This window comes from Homo sapiens, chromosome 11 (genome assembly GCF_000001405.40).
Source record: "Homo sapiens chromosome 11, GRCh38.p14 Primary Assembly".
In the NCBI taxonomy this organism is placed as follows: domain Eukaryota; kingdom Metazoa; phylum Chordata; class Mammalia; order Primates; family Hominidae; genus Homo; species Homo sapiens.
Window position 1 is genome coordinate 45,091,223 of NC_000011.10, and position 12,529 is coordinate 45,103,751.

Genomic DNA, 12,529 nt, shown 5'->3' on the forward strand with positions numbered 1-12,529 from the left:
ACCAAGTTGAAATTGTCCTATTTCCTTTTTCATTAAAATATGACTCCATTTCATATTTATAACCCATAAGGTTAAAAGTTCAGAAATCAAAGCCCATGTCTGTTAAAATAATACTATGCTTCATTGAAAAAAAATAACCAGAATGCCAAAGTTTGTTCTTTTGGTTAAATAATACATTTTCTAGCATGGCTATGTCTCAGAAACAGTTCTCAAGTGTTCACAATAGCTATAATGAGCCTATTGGAGGAGGTATAGTTCACATGTTAAATAAATAACTACATCAAATAGCTTAGGGAAACACAGTTTTAAAATTACCGTTTGATTTTCTGATGTGGCTACAAAAGTAAACTGAAAAAACAGAAGAAATCACTGTTTTAAGATATAGCAGATTCCTCTCCAAAGGAAACCTACAACTACCTATTCCATAGCTTGCAGACTTCATTCATTCAGCGGGATGATGTAAATAACAATCGGGGGTGTGGGAGGGGCTGGTGTGGATAGGGGAAGCATGGTCAGGAAGTAGCATTCACACCTGGAGAGCGACAAGGTGCTTGTCACTAGAAGAACCAAAGAAAGGGGGGCCTAGGCAGAAGGAACAGCAGGTGCCAAGGCTCAGAGGCAGGAAAAGACTTAATAGAAATAAAAACAAATAAGCAGGTTGGCATTCCCACGGTTGTCCCTGATTTGCTGTGGGAATGCCCGCCTGCTGCGTGCTTCTCATGTTCCCTGTCTGGGCCTTGTGCCTTCTTCCTGAAGTGGAAGGGGGGTCCCAAGGCTTTTTAGAAGCTGCCTCCTTGCCTAGCTTTCTGGCTCCTCTGTCCCCCGTCCCTGGACTCCTCCCAGCCCCCTCCCGTCTCTTGCCTGCCCTCCTGCATCCGATGCCCTGGCTGTCAGGGAGAGGAAGTTAGCTGCAGGCACATACATTTTTTAAAAACCCAGCCATTTAAGGAAACTATGCCTCTAAACAAACACTCAAAGGCCCCCACCTCTTGTCCCTAAGGGAGGCAGCACCAGGGCCAGGTCAGGAATTCCGGGCATGTGGGGAAGGCCCTGAATGGAGGGGAAGGCAAGTTGCTGGTCAGACCTCCTCCCCTCAGAGGGCCTCGCCCCAGTCCTGAGAACCAGCCCTGACTCCTCCAGGACCCCAGGGCTGCTCTGCTGGTCCCAGGCCAATGGGGCCCAGGAAAAAGGCCAGAGTCATTCCCTGGGCATCTGGCAAGAATATGGCGTCTGTTGTTGTTTTTTTCTTTTTTATTAACTTTTTAATTTTTACTTCTTTTTTTCTTTTTTTAGAGACAGGGTCTCGTTCTGTCATCCAGACTGGAGCATAGCGGTGCAATCATGTCTCACCACAGCCTCCACCTCCCAAGCTCAAGTGATCCTCCCACCTCAGCTTCCTCGGTAGCTGGGACTATAAGCATGTGCCACCATGCCTGCCTAATTTTTTTTTTTTTGGTAGAGATGGAGTCTCGTTATGTTGCCCAGGCTGGTTTTGAATTCCTGGGCTCAAGTGAACATCTCACCTTGGCCTCCCAAAGTGCTGGGATTATAGGCATGAGCCACTGTGCCCAGCCTATTTTTACTTTTTACTGTGAAACATACATATAAAATAATCTATATAACGTACGCACATTTAAAAGACTATGTTAAATCGTAAAATAATAATAAATGAAGGCTTGTATAAGCCCAGACTAAGAAACCCAGCCTAAGAAACCTTCCCAATGCTTTCCAAGCCCACGCTTGCCCTGACCCTGTGGCTGCCCCATATCCCCCTGCCCAGGTTAACCACTGGGTTCCGTGTTGTGCTGTGGAAGCCCATGGCCCAGAGACCCAAGAACATGATTGCAGTAAGAAAATGGGAGGTTTCGTAAGCTTGTCGCTGCAAGGGAGTGCACAGCGCAGGGAAACCTCGGTGGTGTCTCAGGGAAAGGGATCTGGAAAGCCCCTGAGAAGATCTAGGCTTGGCTGGATGATTCCAAGGAAAACCAGGAAAGCAAGTCCAGTTCTGGACTGAGTGCATGGGCACTTAATAATTTTGATCTTGGAGGCAGGAGGGTTAAAACCGCACCGGCGTTGTCTGGTGAGCAAGCCACTGTCACTCAGAAAGGCAGTGGAGAGGAAGGGGTGTTTCACCGGTGCTTACTCACTGGTGGGGTCTCACAGTTAGCCTGGTCTGTGTCTATGAGTGTGGTTTGTGGTTTCTTGGAAACGTTATCTATCTGTGAGCACAATTTGTCATTACTCAGTGTTAATCATTGTGCAGCTTTTCTTTATAGTTTGCATGTATACTATGTATCTTGTAGATTTATGTGTGGCTAAATGATATGCTGTTTGTCATCACCACCACTACCCCACCACTGCCACTACAACAACCCCACCACCTCCATTGCTGCCACCATCACCACGACAGCTACGCCCTCACACCCACAGAAGCGGCGGTGTGGGAGGCCACATGTGCTCTAGCTGTTCCATGTGTGGGGTGTGTATCTGTGTATGCTGGGGTGGCTGTGGGGGGAGAGAGGCTATTTAGAGAGTTTCAGGCTGAGCAGCACTGAGGAACCAAGAAGTTGGCTGCAAAGATCTGGGCCTACTGCAAAGATCATTGAGTACCTCCTGCGGTCCCAGTCTCTCTTTCTCTCCTTACTCCTGGATTTATCTGAAGATGAGGGCTGAGTGACCAAACAAGCATGGGATCAAGGGCCAGAAAGTAGCATCAGGCTCAGAGCTGGAGTCAGGGCTGGCACTGGGAGGCCCCGACAGCAGGAGCCTCTGATCCACCTTGTTCCAGCTGTCTTGAGGACCATCTCTCCCGGCAGCATACCGTGTGGCTTCACACTGCTCTGCCTCTCTGAACCTCGGTTTCTTCATCTATAAAATGGGAATAAGAGTAAGCCACCTCAATGGACTGTGGGAGGCTTAAGTAAATTGAAGTGCCATGCAAGTAGCTAGCATGCAGTTGCAGCTCAATGAATGTGAGTCCCTTGTCCTCCTCTGGGGGTGGGCTGGAATCACAGGGTAGTGGGTGGCAGGTAGCAGGAGGTGAGACGATGGGGTGCCATGACCTCTCCTAACACCTGATGCTGGACAGGAAACAGGAGGCTTCTGGGAAGGGCCCGGGACAGATGCGACCTGCCACCCAGGCTGCCCCTGAATGTCCTCTGCCCAGTGCTGCCCCAGCTGCATGGAGGGACCCCAGAGTGGGGCATGGGCTGGGAGGGGGTGGGGGAGGCTGAGAGAGCAGGAGAAGGAAGTGAGTCATGGTGGGGAAGAGGAGAAAAGGCAGGAAGGAAGAACATGCAGGAAGAAAAGAGGGAGAGAGGGATATGACGGGAGGAAAGAGGAGAGGAGGGGAAAGGAGAAGGAAAGGGAGGGGAGGGGAGGGGAGGGGAGGACTGAAGGGAGGAAGTAGAGGGAGCAGAAAATGGGAGGGAGGAAAGAAGGAAGGAAGGAGGGATGGAAGGATGGAAGGAAGGAAGGAAGGGAGGGAGGGAGGAAAAGACGGAAGGAGGGAGGGAAGGAGGGAAGGAATGAAGAAAGGGAGGGAAGGAATAGAGGGAAGGAAGGGAGGGAGGAGGGAGAGAAGGAAGGGAGGAAGGAGAGAAGGAAGGGAGGAAGGAGGGAAGGAAGGGAGGAAGGAGGGAAGGAAGGGAAGGAAGAGAGGAGGGAAGGAAGGAAGGGAAAGAAGGAAGGGAGGGAAGGAAGGGAGGGAGATGAGGAGACACTGGCAGCTCAGTACCTGGCAGAAGGAGATAAACAGAGTCTGGAGCCACCACTGCCCTTGTCCAGCCACCAGCACAGGCATGGGGGCAGGGAACTGGGCCGGCTGGCCTTGCCAACTGCTTAACAACGCCCTTCCCCAACCTGCCACCACAGTGGGATCCCGCCAACCTGCCACCCTGTCTGCTGGGAACAATAGGGAGCTGTCTGAAGCTGTGTCACTGGCTGCCTCCCCCAAAAGAAGGTGACAGCGATGTCTCCCTGCCATGGGCCTCAAAGCCAGCTGCCAGCCCTTCTAAGCCGTGGGGACAGGAATCTACAGCTGGGCCTCCCTCTGTAACAGCTCCCCCTTGGAACCCCTCCACACCCACCTCCTCCTTTTATTTCCTCCAGCCCTCAGCTCCCTCAGCCTGATCTCCCCAGGCATCCCCTGACATTTGGCCTTGCTCCCCGCTGCTATCTGCTCATCATGTTGGGGACAGGAGATGGGAAAGGGCAGTAGAGACAGTGCTGGGGAGTCAGGACGTGGGGTTTCAGTCTCGCCTTTGTCACTGTGGCACAGATGGCCAGCCGTCTCTCATCATCTATTCTCCCCTCTTCCTGATGAACGCACCCCTAATTTGGTGTCAGGCACATGGCAGCTGAGAGTAGAGGCCACATTTCCCAGACTCCTCTGCAATTACATGTCACTATGTGACAAAGTTCTGACCAATGCAATAGAACTGCAACCCCTGGGACATGTCCTCTTGGGGAAAGGCATTCTCTTTTTAACCCTTCTGCTTTCTGCTCTGGAATGCAGATTATGATGGCCGCAGATACGATGGCTACAGCTGGGGCACCCATTTCGGGTCACAAGGTAGGGTTCAATGTTGAAGATGGCAGAGCCAATTGCATCCCTGATGATCGTGGAGTGCCGGGCCTGCCTGAGATGCTCACCTCTCTTCCTTTACCAGAGAGAGAAAGTAAGTTGTTTAAGCTGCTAATGTGGGGGCTCCTCAAAACGCTTGCACTTGCTACTACCTCTCCCTGGAATACTCTTCCTCCAGATCTTTATTCAGGCCCCTGCTTGTTGTCATCTTCTCATTAAAGCCCGCATTGTCCTTTCTGTCTAACATTACCACCCTCCACTCCTTCTCACTGTCAAGTGGAAAACTCTTTATAGCACACGCTGATAGCTCCATTTTCTTGTTTGTTACGGGCTTCTTTCTCTTTCTGACTTCTGCCAGTAAAATGAAAGCTCCATGAGAGCAGGCACCTGCCATGTTCACTGCCAGATCACTAGGACTCGGAACAGCACCTGGCACATAGTAAATGCTCAATAAATCCTTGGTGAATAAATATAGGTGGAAATGAAAGGACTAGAAGTGAATTGACATTTATTGAGCACCTATTGTGTGCAGGCACCGTGCTGGATGCTTTAGGTAAACCATTTCATTCACACGTCTTAACATTTTTAGGTACAAATTGTTACTCTCATTTTTTCACATCTAGAAACTGAAGTTGTGAGATTATAGGTGACATAATCTCAGATCCCAGAGATCTAAGCAGGAGGGTTGTGGGGGTGCAGGCAGGGTCCTGGGATGTAAGCTCAGGTGCCTTGAATCAAGCCCAATGGGTTTTCATTATTCTGGCCAGGCTCTCCGAAGATAAAAGACATCCTCAGATGTTCCTAAAGCCTCCCATTCAGCTTATTCTCTCACCTGCTTGCTAAGCAACTCTGCACCACCTCCCAAGCAGCCTCTTCACTGGCTTTGATTTTTAGTGTCTTTCTGATTATTTCCTGAGGAGATTGTGCTAGAAGCCTGTGGAATCACAGAGGCACTGGGTAGCGTGAACAGAAATGCCTTTTTCTACTCTGAAATGTGAGGACTGACTCCTTCAGGAGGGAGAAGGGAACGTTGTCATTTCCAAGTACATTCTCTGCCAGGCCTGTTTCAGGAACTCCTGCCTGCTCATCTCACATGATCTTCATGCCAATCCTGGCAGGGAGGCAGCTGCGTGGCCATGCACCAGTCTCCTTGCTCCTCTGAGCCTCCTTTTTCTCATCTGGCAAACGGGGATAATGAGGCTACCAACCTGGAAATGTGGCTGAGAGGTAAATGGGATGAAGATGAGGCCAGGGAATTTGGTTTTAAGGTTCAAATCAAGGATATTTCCTGCAGCTAAATAGAAAGCACCTTTACCTTCATCCTGTATGCAGCCCCCCATACCTCCAACTTCAGCATCCTGGTGACTTAATGCATCAATAGCTCACAAGTTTGAAGATTCCCCTGCTCTCCTGAGTCCTCTCCCTTACTGGCCATGTGACCTTAAACAAGTCCTTCACCTGGCTGAGCCTCAATTTCCTTGTATGTAAACTGAAGGCACTGGACTAGGTTCCCTTCCAGTCTGAAATTCACAGGCTTCTCTATCAAGTAAAGTCTGAGGAATAGTAGCTACCAAACGTGAGCATTTGTTACATGCCGGCAGAATTGCCAGCACATTTACCTACATTGTCTAATTTTGTCCTCACCACAATCCTGTGGGAAAGCTTTCATCCCTCCCATTTAACAGGTGAGGAAATTGAAGCTCAGGGGTGGAACAAATCACTCAAGATCACACAGGGGTAATGGGATTCAAACTCAAGTGTCGCTCAGATGCTCAGACCATTGAACTCTACTGCACACATAGAATCAGAATTTATTTTCACTACCATTTTTTCTGGCCAGGCTTTTCCTGTTTAGCTTGTCCTTGAGGACGGAGCTATTGGGACACATCCAGGGCTTAGGACCACCTGTAGGTGAGACAAGCAGGCTACGGAAAGCATGGAGCCGCCTTGTTGGCAACTGGGGCCACAGGCTGTGTTCCACTCTCTTCAGTCCACATCTCTGGGTGATACACTCATGTTTGGAGGTGCCTGCAGTGGCAGGAGGAAGTGGGGAGTGGGGAATATGACAGTTCTCCAAGGAATTTGGAAGGCAGGGGAAAGAGCTGCACAGGCACCGTCACGTCATTGGCAAAGGTGCCAAAGAAATGTCAGAACAAAATGTGCTGGCTGGGATTGGAGATGAAAAATCCATTCGTGGCTGCCCTGAAGCAAATCCCTTCACTCCCCAACTACCATCTCAGAAGGAGGAATTAGTCACGTGACAGAGCTCTTCAGCACCATGGACAGTGCCCTAGCGGCACCTTCAGGGAACCCACCCAGGCCTCAGAGTATCAGGCCCAGTGACTAGCACCACAGCTGATGGAGGGGATGGCCTCGTTCCCCTCATCCCCAGGGACTTATCATCTGGGGCCAGGAAGAAGACTGACATGCAAGGAAAACTCACACAGTGCTGGGTGTTCCTGTGTGCTAAGGAAGGACCCTCTGGCCAATGTTGGCCTTGACATCCATTCCTGCATTTGGCCATCATTGAGCAGGGGATGTGTACCTGACTCTGCACCAGACACCAGGGAAGGAAGAGCACAGATGAATGGAGACTGTGCTTGCTCTTGAAAAGCTTGGACTTAGTCGGGGAGACTGGAAACCAATCATTACGAGATAGAGGTTGGCATGAGATGAGGTCAGTGAGGTTGCTACTAATGCTAGTTCCACTTTACAGGTGGGAAACCAGGCCAGGTGACTTGCCCAGGCTCGCACAGCTATGAGGAGGCAGAGCTGGGATTTGCATCCATGTGGTCAGGTCCCAGGATCCATGATTTTAACCACTACCATGACTATGGGGTGGTGGTGGGGAACAATTCAATTAAGTCTAGAAAGGGGCAATGGAGAATTCCTGGAAGGAGTGACACCTGGGTTGTATTTTCCCAGGTGAGGAAGTTGGGGGAGGTCAGAAAGAATAGCACTGTGAAGCCTGAGAAAGGTAGTGCTCCATAGTGGGTATGGGAAAGGGCCACACAGAGGATGTGGGAACAGGAAGGCGGGCGAAGGTGAGGCTAGAAGACCCCCAAGGGTGGGCTCCTGAGGAGTGTTGTACTAAGCAAGGGAGTTTGAGCTGGATTCTGCAGCTCTAAAGAGTCAATGGAGTGTTTCAAGCAACAAAAGAAGGTAATCAGATTCTGGAAAATGGCTGATAGTGTATTGAAGTGGACTGGAGAGGGATCATTGGCAGGAGGGATGTCTAGCCAGAGGGCTACTGCAGGAAGCCAGCTGAGGGAGGGAGGGAAGGCTAGACTGGGGCAGGGGCAGTGGAGCAGCAGGAATGGCACGCGATGCCTGATGGCCTTGAGATTAAGATCACAGGCTCTGGGCCGGGTGTGGTGGCTCACGCCTGTAATCCTAGCACTTTGGGAGGCTGAGGTGGGCAGATTGCCTGAGCTCAGGAATTCGAGAGCAGCCTGGACAACACAGTGAAACGCTGTCTCTACTAAAGATACAAAAAAATTAGGTGTGGTGATGTGTGCCTGTAGTTCCGGCTACTCCAGAGGCTGAGGCAGGAGAATTGCTTGAACTCGGGAGGCGGAGGTTGCAGTGAGCCAAGATCGTGCCACTGCACTCCAGCCTGGGTAACAGAGTGAGACTCCATCTTAAAAAAAAAAAAAAAAAAAAAAAAATCACAGGCTCTGGCCCCACATCTCCTGGGTCCACAGCCAAGACCAGGAGTGAGGAAGCACCTGCCTTACACTGCCTTTTTTTTTTACTTTTTTTATTTTTAATTTCTGTGGCTACATAGCAGGTGCGTATATGTATGGGGCACATGAGATGTTCTGATACAGGCATGCAATGCGCCATAATCACATCATGGAGAGTGGGGTATCCATCCCCTCAAGCATTTATTCTTTGTGTTATAAACAATCCAATTACAGTGTTTTCATTATTTTAAACTGTACAATTAAGTTATTACTTACTGTAGTCACCCTGTTGTGCTATCAAATAGTAGGTCTTATGCATTCTTTCTAGCTTAGACTGCCAATTCTGAAGCTCATGCACTTTACTTGTGAGCTCTTCAGCCTGTCTCAGGACCCAGTTACTCTTACTTCACCCGCTGTTCTGACAGAGCTGTAGGTCTGACTCTCAAATTCACAGCAGATTAGAAGTAGAAAGTTTTATGGGATGGGAGAAGAATTGAGAGGCAGGTGCAGTGACAGCAGGGAGGGATGCTAGCTAATGTCGGGAAACCAAAGATTTTTTATTTTTTTTAAGCATCATAAAATGGCATCATTTGGCAGATTCTGAATGCATCAACACATCCTACATCAATTACACTATGTAATAAAGTCGGGAACTCTATCACATTTCTAAAAATATTTCCATCCAAGGGCTAAAATGAAATTTGAAAGTTTGAGTAATTAAGAGCAATCCCTCAGCCATACTGATTCGCTAATTGTCCTTAAAATCCGAGTGACTGAGACCTCTTTGTACCTTTCAGAACCTTGTCCTATCCATCAGAGTGATGGGGTGATCCTCACACTCACCCCAGGAGAAAAAAATAGGCAGAGGGGCCACCCCATGTCATAGGTGAAGAAACTCATGCTCAGCCTTTCACAGCCTACACAAATGGCTCTTCATTTTCAGAGTCAAGCTGGGAGCCCAGATGTCCTGATTGGCAGCCCTGAACTCCCAGTCCTTCTGTCTGTCTGCTGCTTCTTTCCTCCCTCCCCTTCTCAAGCCATACCCACCCACTGGTGCTCATCATCATCTGCTGCTGCTGATTGGCTGGTGAGATCACCCTGAGCAGCAGCCCTCTCCTCCATAGGTCCGTGGTATGTTGACATCAGAGAGGTTATTTGCATACCCATCAGCCAGTCAACAGCTTCCCATCCTCAACCGGGCAGTTCCTTTCTTTATGGAACTGAGGCTTCTCACTGGGACTGAGCTCATAAGCCACAACAGAAGCCGCCTTTTATTGAACACTTATTATGGGCCAGGCCTGTGCTATATATTTTGCATATTTTCTCTCATTGGATGTGCACAATAACCAGCTTGAGGTAGGAACTGGGTTAGTCCCACTTCTCAGAGAAGAAACTTACAAAGTTTAAGTATTTGCCCAGGGTCATGCAGACAATAAGTAGCAGAGATGGAATCTGCACCCAGGGATATCTAATCCAAATGCTGTATTCTTAACCAGCTCCAGAGTCTTCCAACAGAGGGACAAGTATTGTGGCTTTGTGTGTGTGTGTTGGAAGTGGGGGGGTGGGGATTAATAGGACTTTAGCCAGGGAAAGCAGCTTCTCCCTTTCCCCACACTTCTTGCACCCTAGTCACCTTACTGGGCTGAGAGGTGTGTCTGTTCCATGAGAGGAGAGAGCTAAGGAGAACTTCCAGTTAGGGAGGGGGTGCTGTCAGGCTGCAGAGCAGAGACTTGCCCAGTCCTCAGACCTGGGAGGTCTCCTTCAAGTGTCAAAAGAAGGTATTTGGCCGGTCATGGGCTCACGCCTGTAATCCCAACACTTTGGGAGGCCGAGGTGGGCAGATCACGAGGTCAGGAGATCGAGACCATCCTGGCCAACATGGTGAAACCCTGTCTCTACTTAAAATACAAAAATTAGCTGGGCATGGTGGTCTGCACCTGTAGTCCCAGCCACTCAGGAGGCTGAGGCAGGATAATTGCTTGAACCCAGGAGGCTGAGGTTGCAGTGAGGTGAGATTGCACTACTGCACTGCAGCCTGGGTGACAGAGCAACACTCTGTCTCAAAAAAAAAAAAAAGAAGAAGAAGAAGAAGAAGAAGAAGAAGAAGGCGTTCAGGGCTCAGAGCTAGAGGCTGAGCAGAGGAAGAAGAAGGCGTTCAGGGCTCAGAGCTGGAGGCTGAGCGGAGGAAGAAGAAGGCGTTCAGGGCTCAGAGCTGGAGGCTGAGCGGAGGAAGAAGAAGGCGTTCAGGGCTCAGAGCTGGAGGCTGAGCGGAGGAAGAAGAAGGCGTTCAGGGCTCAGAGCTGGAGGCTGAGCGGAGGAAGAAGAAGGCGTTCAGGGCTCAGAGCTGGAGGCTGAGCGGAGGAAGAAGAAGGCGTTCAGGGCTCAGAGCTGGAGGCTGAGCGGAGGAAGAAGAAGGCGTTCAGGGCTCAGAGCTGGAGGCTGAGCGGAGGAAGAAGAAGGCGTTCAGGGCTCAGAGCTGGAGGCTGAGCGGAGGAAGAAGAAGGCGTTCAGGGCTCAGAGCTGGAGGCTGAGCGGAGGAAGAAGAAGGCGTTCAGGGCTCAGAGCTGGAGGCTGAGCGGAGGAAGAAGAAGGCGTTCAGGGCTCAGAGCTGGAGGCTGAGCGGAGGAAGAAGAAGGCGTTCAGGGCTCAGAGCTGGAGGCTGAGCGGAGGAAGAAGAAGGCGTTCAGGGCTCAGAGCTGGAGGCTGAGCGGAGGAAGAAGAAGGCGTTCAGGGCTCAGAGCTGGAGGCTGAGCGGAGGAAGAAGAAGGCGTTCAGGGCTCAGAGCTGGAGGCTGAGCAGAGTCACAGGCTCTTTGCCGAAAGCCTGTGTGACCTGGGCCGATGTGTGTTTAATGATCCCCAAAGGCTCTTCCTGTCTTAGTTTCTGGAAAGCTGGCTTTCCCGGGGAGATGCTAGCTGGACACAGATGAGGAAAGACTAAAGTTCAGCCTTGCAGCACTCCCTGGGGCCGGCATGAGGGGAAGCACCCCAGCTGGGGCCCCAACACTGCCCTCTGCAATCCAGCCACTCCCAGGAAGGGAGTAGAAGAGCAATAACGTCTTCTGTGGGAGCCTCCTTCACACCGTGCCACAGCCTCCTTCCCCCATACCACCCCAGTCCATTAGGTCCAGCCCCCCTTGCACCGTGCCACAGCCTCCTTCCCCCCTGCCATCCCAGTCCATTAGGTCCAGATGACCTGTGACACACACCCTGGGCCCCCAGCCCTGTGCTGGCCGCCCTGGTGGATGCTGGAAACGCCAGGCGAGCCTCTGGCCACAGAAGGTGGTGCCTGGCCCATTGCACAGGGGCAGCCAAGGTAATCAGTTCAATGCCAGAGCAGTCAGGGAAGGCTTCCTGGGAATGGCAGCAATTGGGCTGGGCTTGCCAAGCTGATTAGTGTGAACTGGTCGACCGAGGAAGGGAGAGCAGGCCTGATGTACAGAAGAGCAGATGCAGAGAGACAGGCAGGACTGTTTACCCTGGAGGGGGAAGGCCCACTCACTGTGTGGGCAGGAAGCTGACTCAGAGTGTGATGAGAGTAACAGAGAACCCAAGTCTCTCTACTCCCAGCCCAGTGCTCATATAATCGTGAGCCCTAGCCTTGCATTTTCATTCTCTTGTCTGGTCATCACTGGACAGTTGCCTCTGCCATGTCTACTGGACAGGACTCAGGATGGTCACCAGCAGCTTTCCCCTGCATCCCTCCCCAAAGCCCAGAAACCCTGACCACCCCGCCGGGCCTGCCTCCTCCCCGGCCTTGGAGCCCAACCTGGACTCTGCAGTTGGTCCTTTGGCGCCATCTGATGGTAGACATATGAAACTACAGCAAATGGGGGGACTGGTGAAGGAGGAAAAGTTGGAGGAGGAAGAGGAGGAAGATGAGAGGGAGATGAGGAAAGAGGAAGAGGAAATAACTTGTATAGCCTATATGGATCACCATGTGCTTTGGTAGAGACAGAAAAATCTAGGCCCTACCGTTTTGCAGCTTTGTGACTTTGAGCAGTTCACAGTTCCTCCCTGAGCCTCAGTTTCCCCATCTGTAAAACCAGGAAAAATAACCCAAACTTAAGTGTTAACCTTTGGCAGGGTATTGACCAAGAGGGAGCTTGAGGGGGCCTTTGAGGGTGTCAGAAATACTTCTGTCTTGATGGTCACACGGTTTTAAAAAGTCATTGAGTTGTACACAAAGTTTGTGTACTTTACTGTATATATAATATATACATTATATGTAATACTATATATAGTATATATAATATAAA

General features: G+C 50.5%; 1 protein-coding gene across 1 annotated transcript in view, besides 3 other annotated features; it reads left to right on the forward strand.

The window, feature by feature from the left end:
* Nucleotides 1-2,936: 2,936 nt before the first annotated feature.
* PRDM11 (PR/SET domain 11) overlaps nt 2,937-12,529 on the forward strand; it is a 140,951-nt gene continuing 131,358 nt past the window's right edge. Inside the window, exons 1-2 of the mRNA NM_001359633.2 lie at nt 2,937-2,972; nt 4,517-4,679. The gene's annotated coding sequence lies outside the window, so the exon portion shown is untranslated. The remainder of the gene's footprint in view (nt 2,973-4,516; nt 4,680-12,529) is intronic.
* Nucleotides 9,961-10,501: an enhancer, noted in NCBI's record as "H3K27ac hESC enhancer chr11:45122734-45123274 (GRCh37/hg19 assembly coordinates)". NCBI's record gives its function as "activates a minimal SCP1, AML or CMV promoter by ChIP-STARR-seq in naive H9 embryonic stem cells {active_cell/tissue: H9 hESC(naive)}" and the evidence as "EXISTENCE:reporter gene assay evidence [ECO:0000049][PMID:30033119]".
* Nucleotides 10,502-11,040: an enhancer, noted in NCBI's record as "H3K27ac-H3K4me1 hESC enhancer chr11:45123275-45123813 (GRCh37/hg19 assembly coordinates)". NCBI's record gives its function as "activates a minimal SCP1, AML or CMV promoter by ChIP-STARR-seq in naive H9 embryonic stem cells {active_cell/tissue: H9 hESC(naive)}" and the evidence as "EXISTENCE:reporter gene assay evidence [ECO:0000049][PMID:30033119]".
* Nucleotides 11,836-12,130: a silencer, noted in NCBI's record as "tiled region #3485; HepG2 Repressive DNase matched - State 12:CtcfO". NCBI's record gives its function as "represses a minimal TATA promoter and a strong SV40 promoter by Sharpr-MPRA in HepG2 cells {active_cell/tissue: HepG2}" and the evidence as "EXISTENCE:reporter gene assay evidence [ECO:0000049][PMID:27701403]".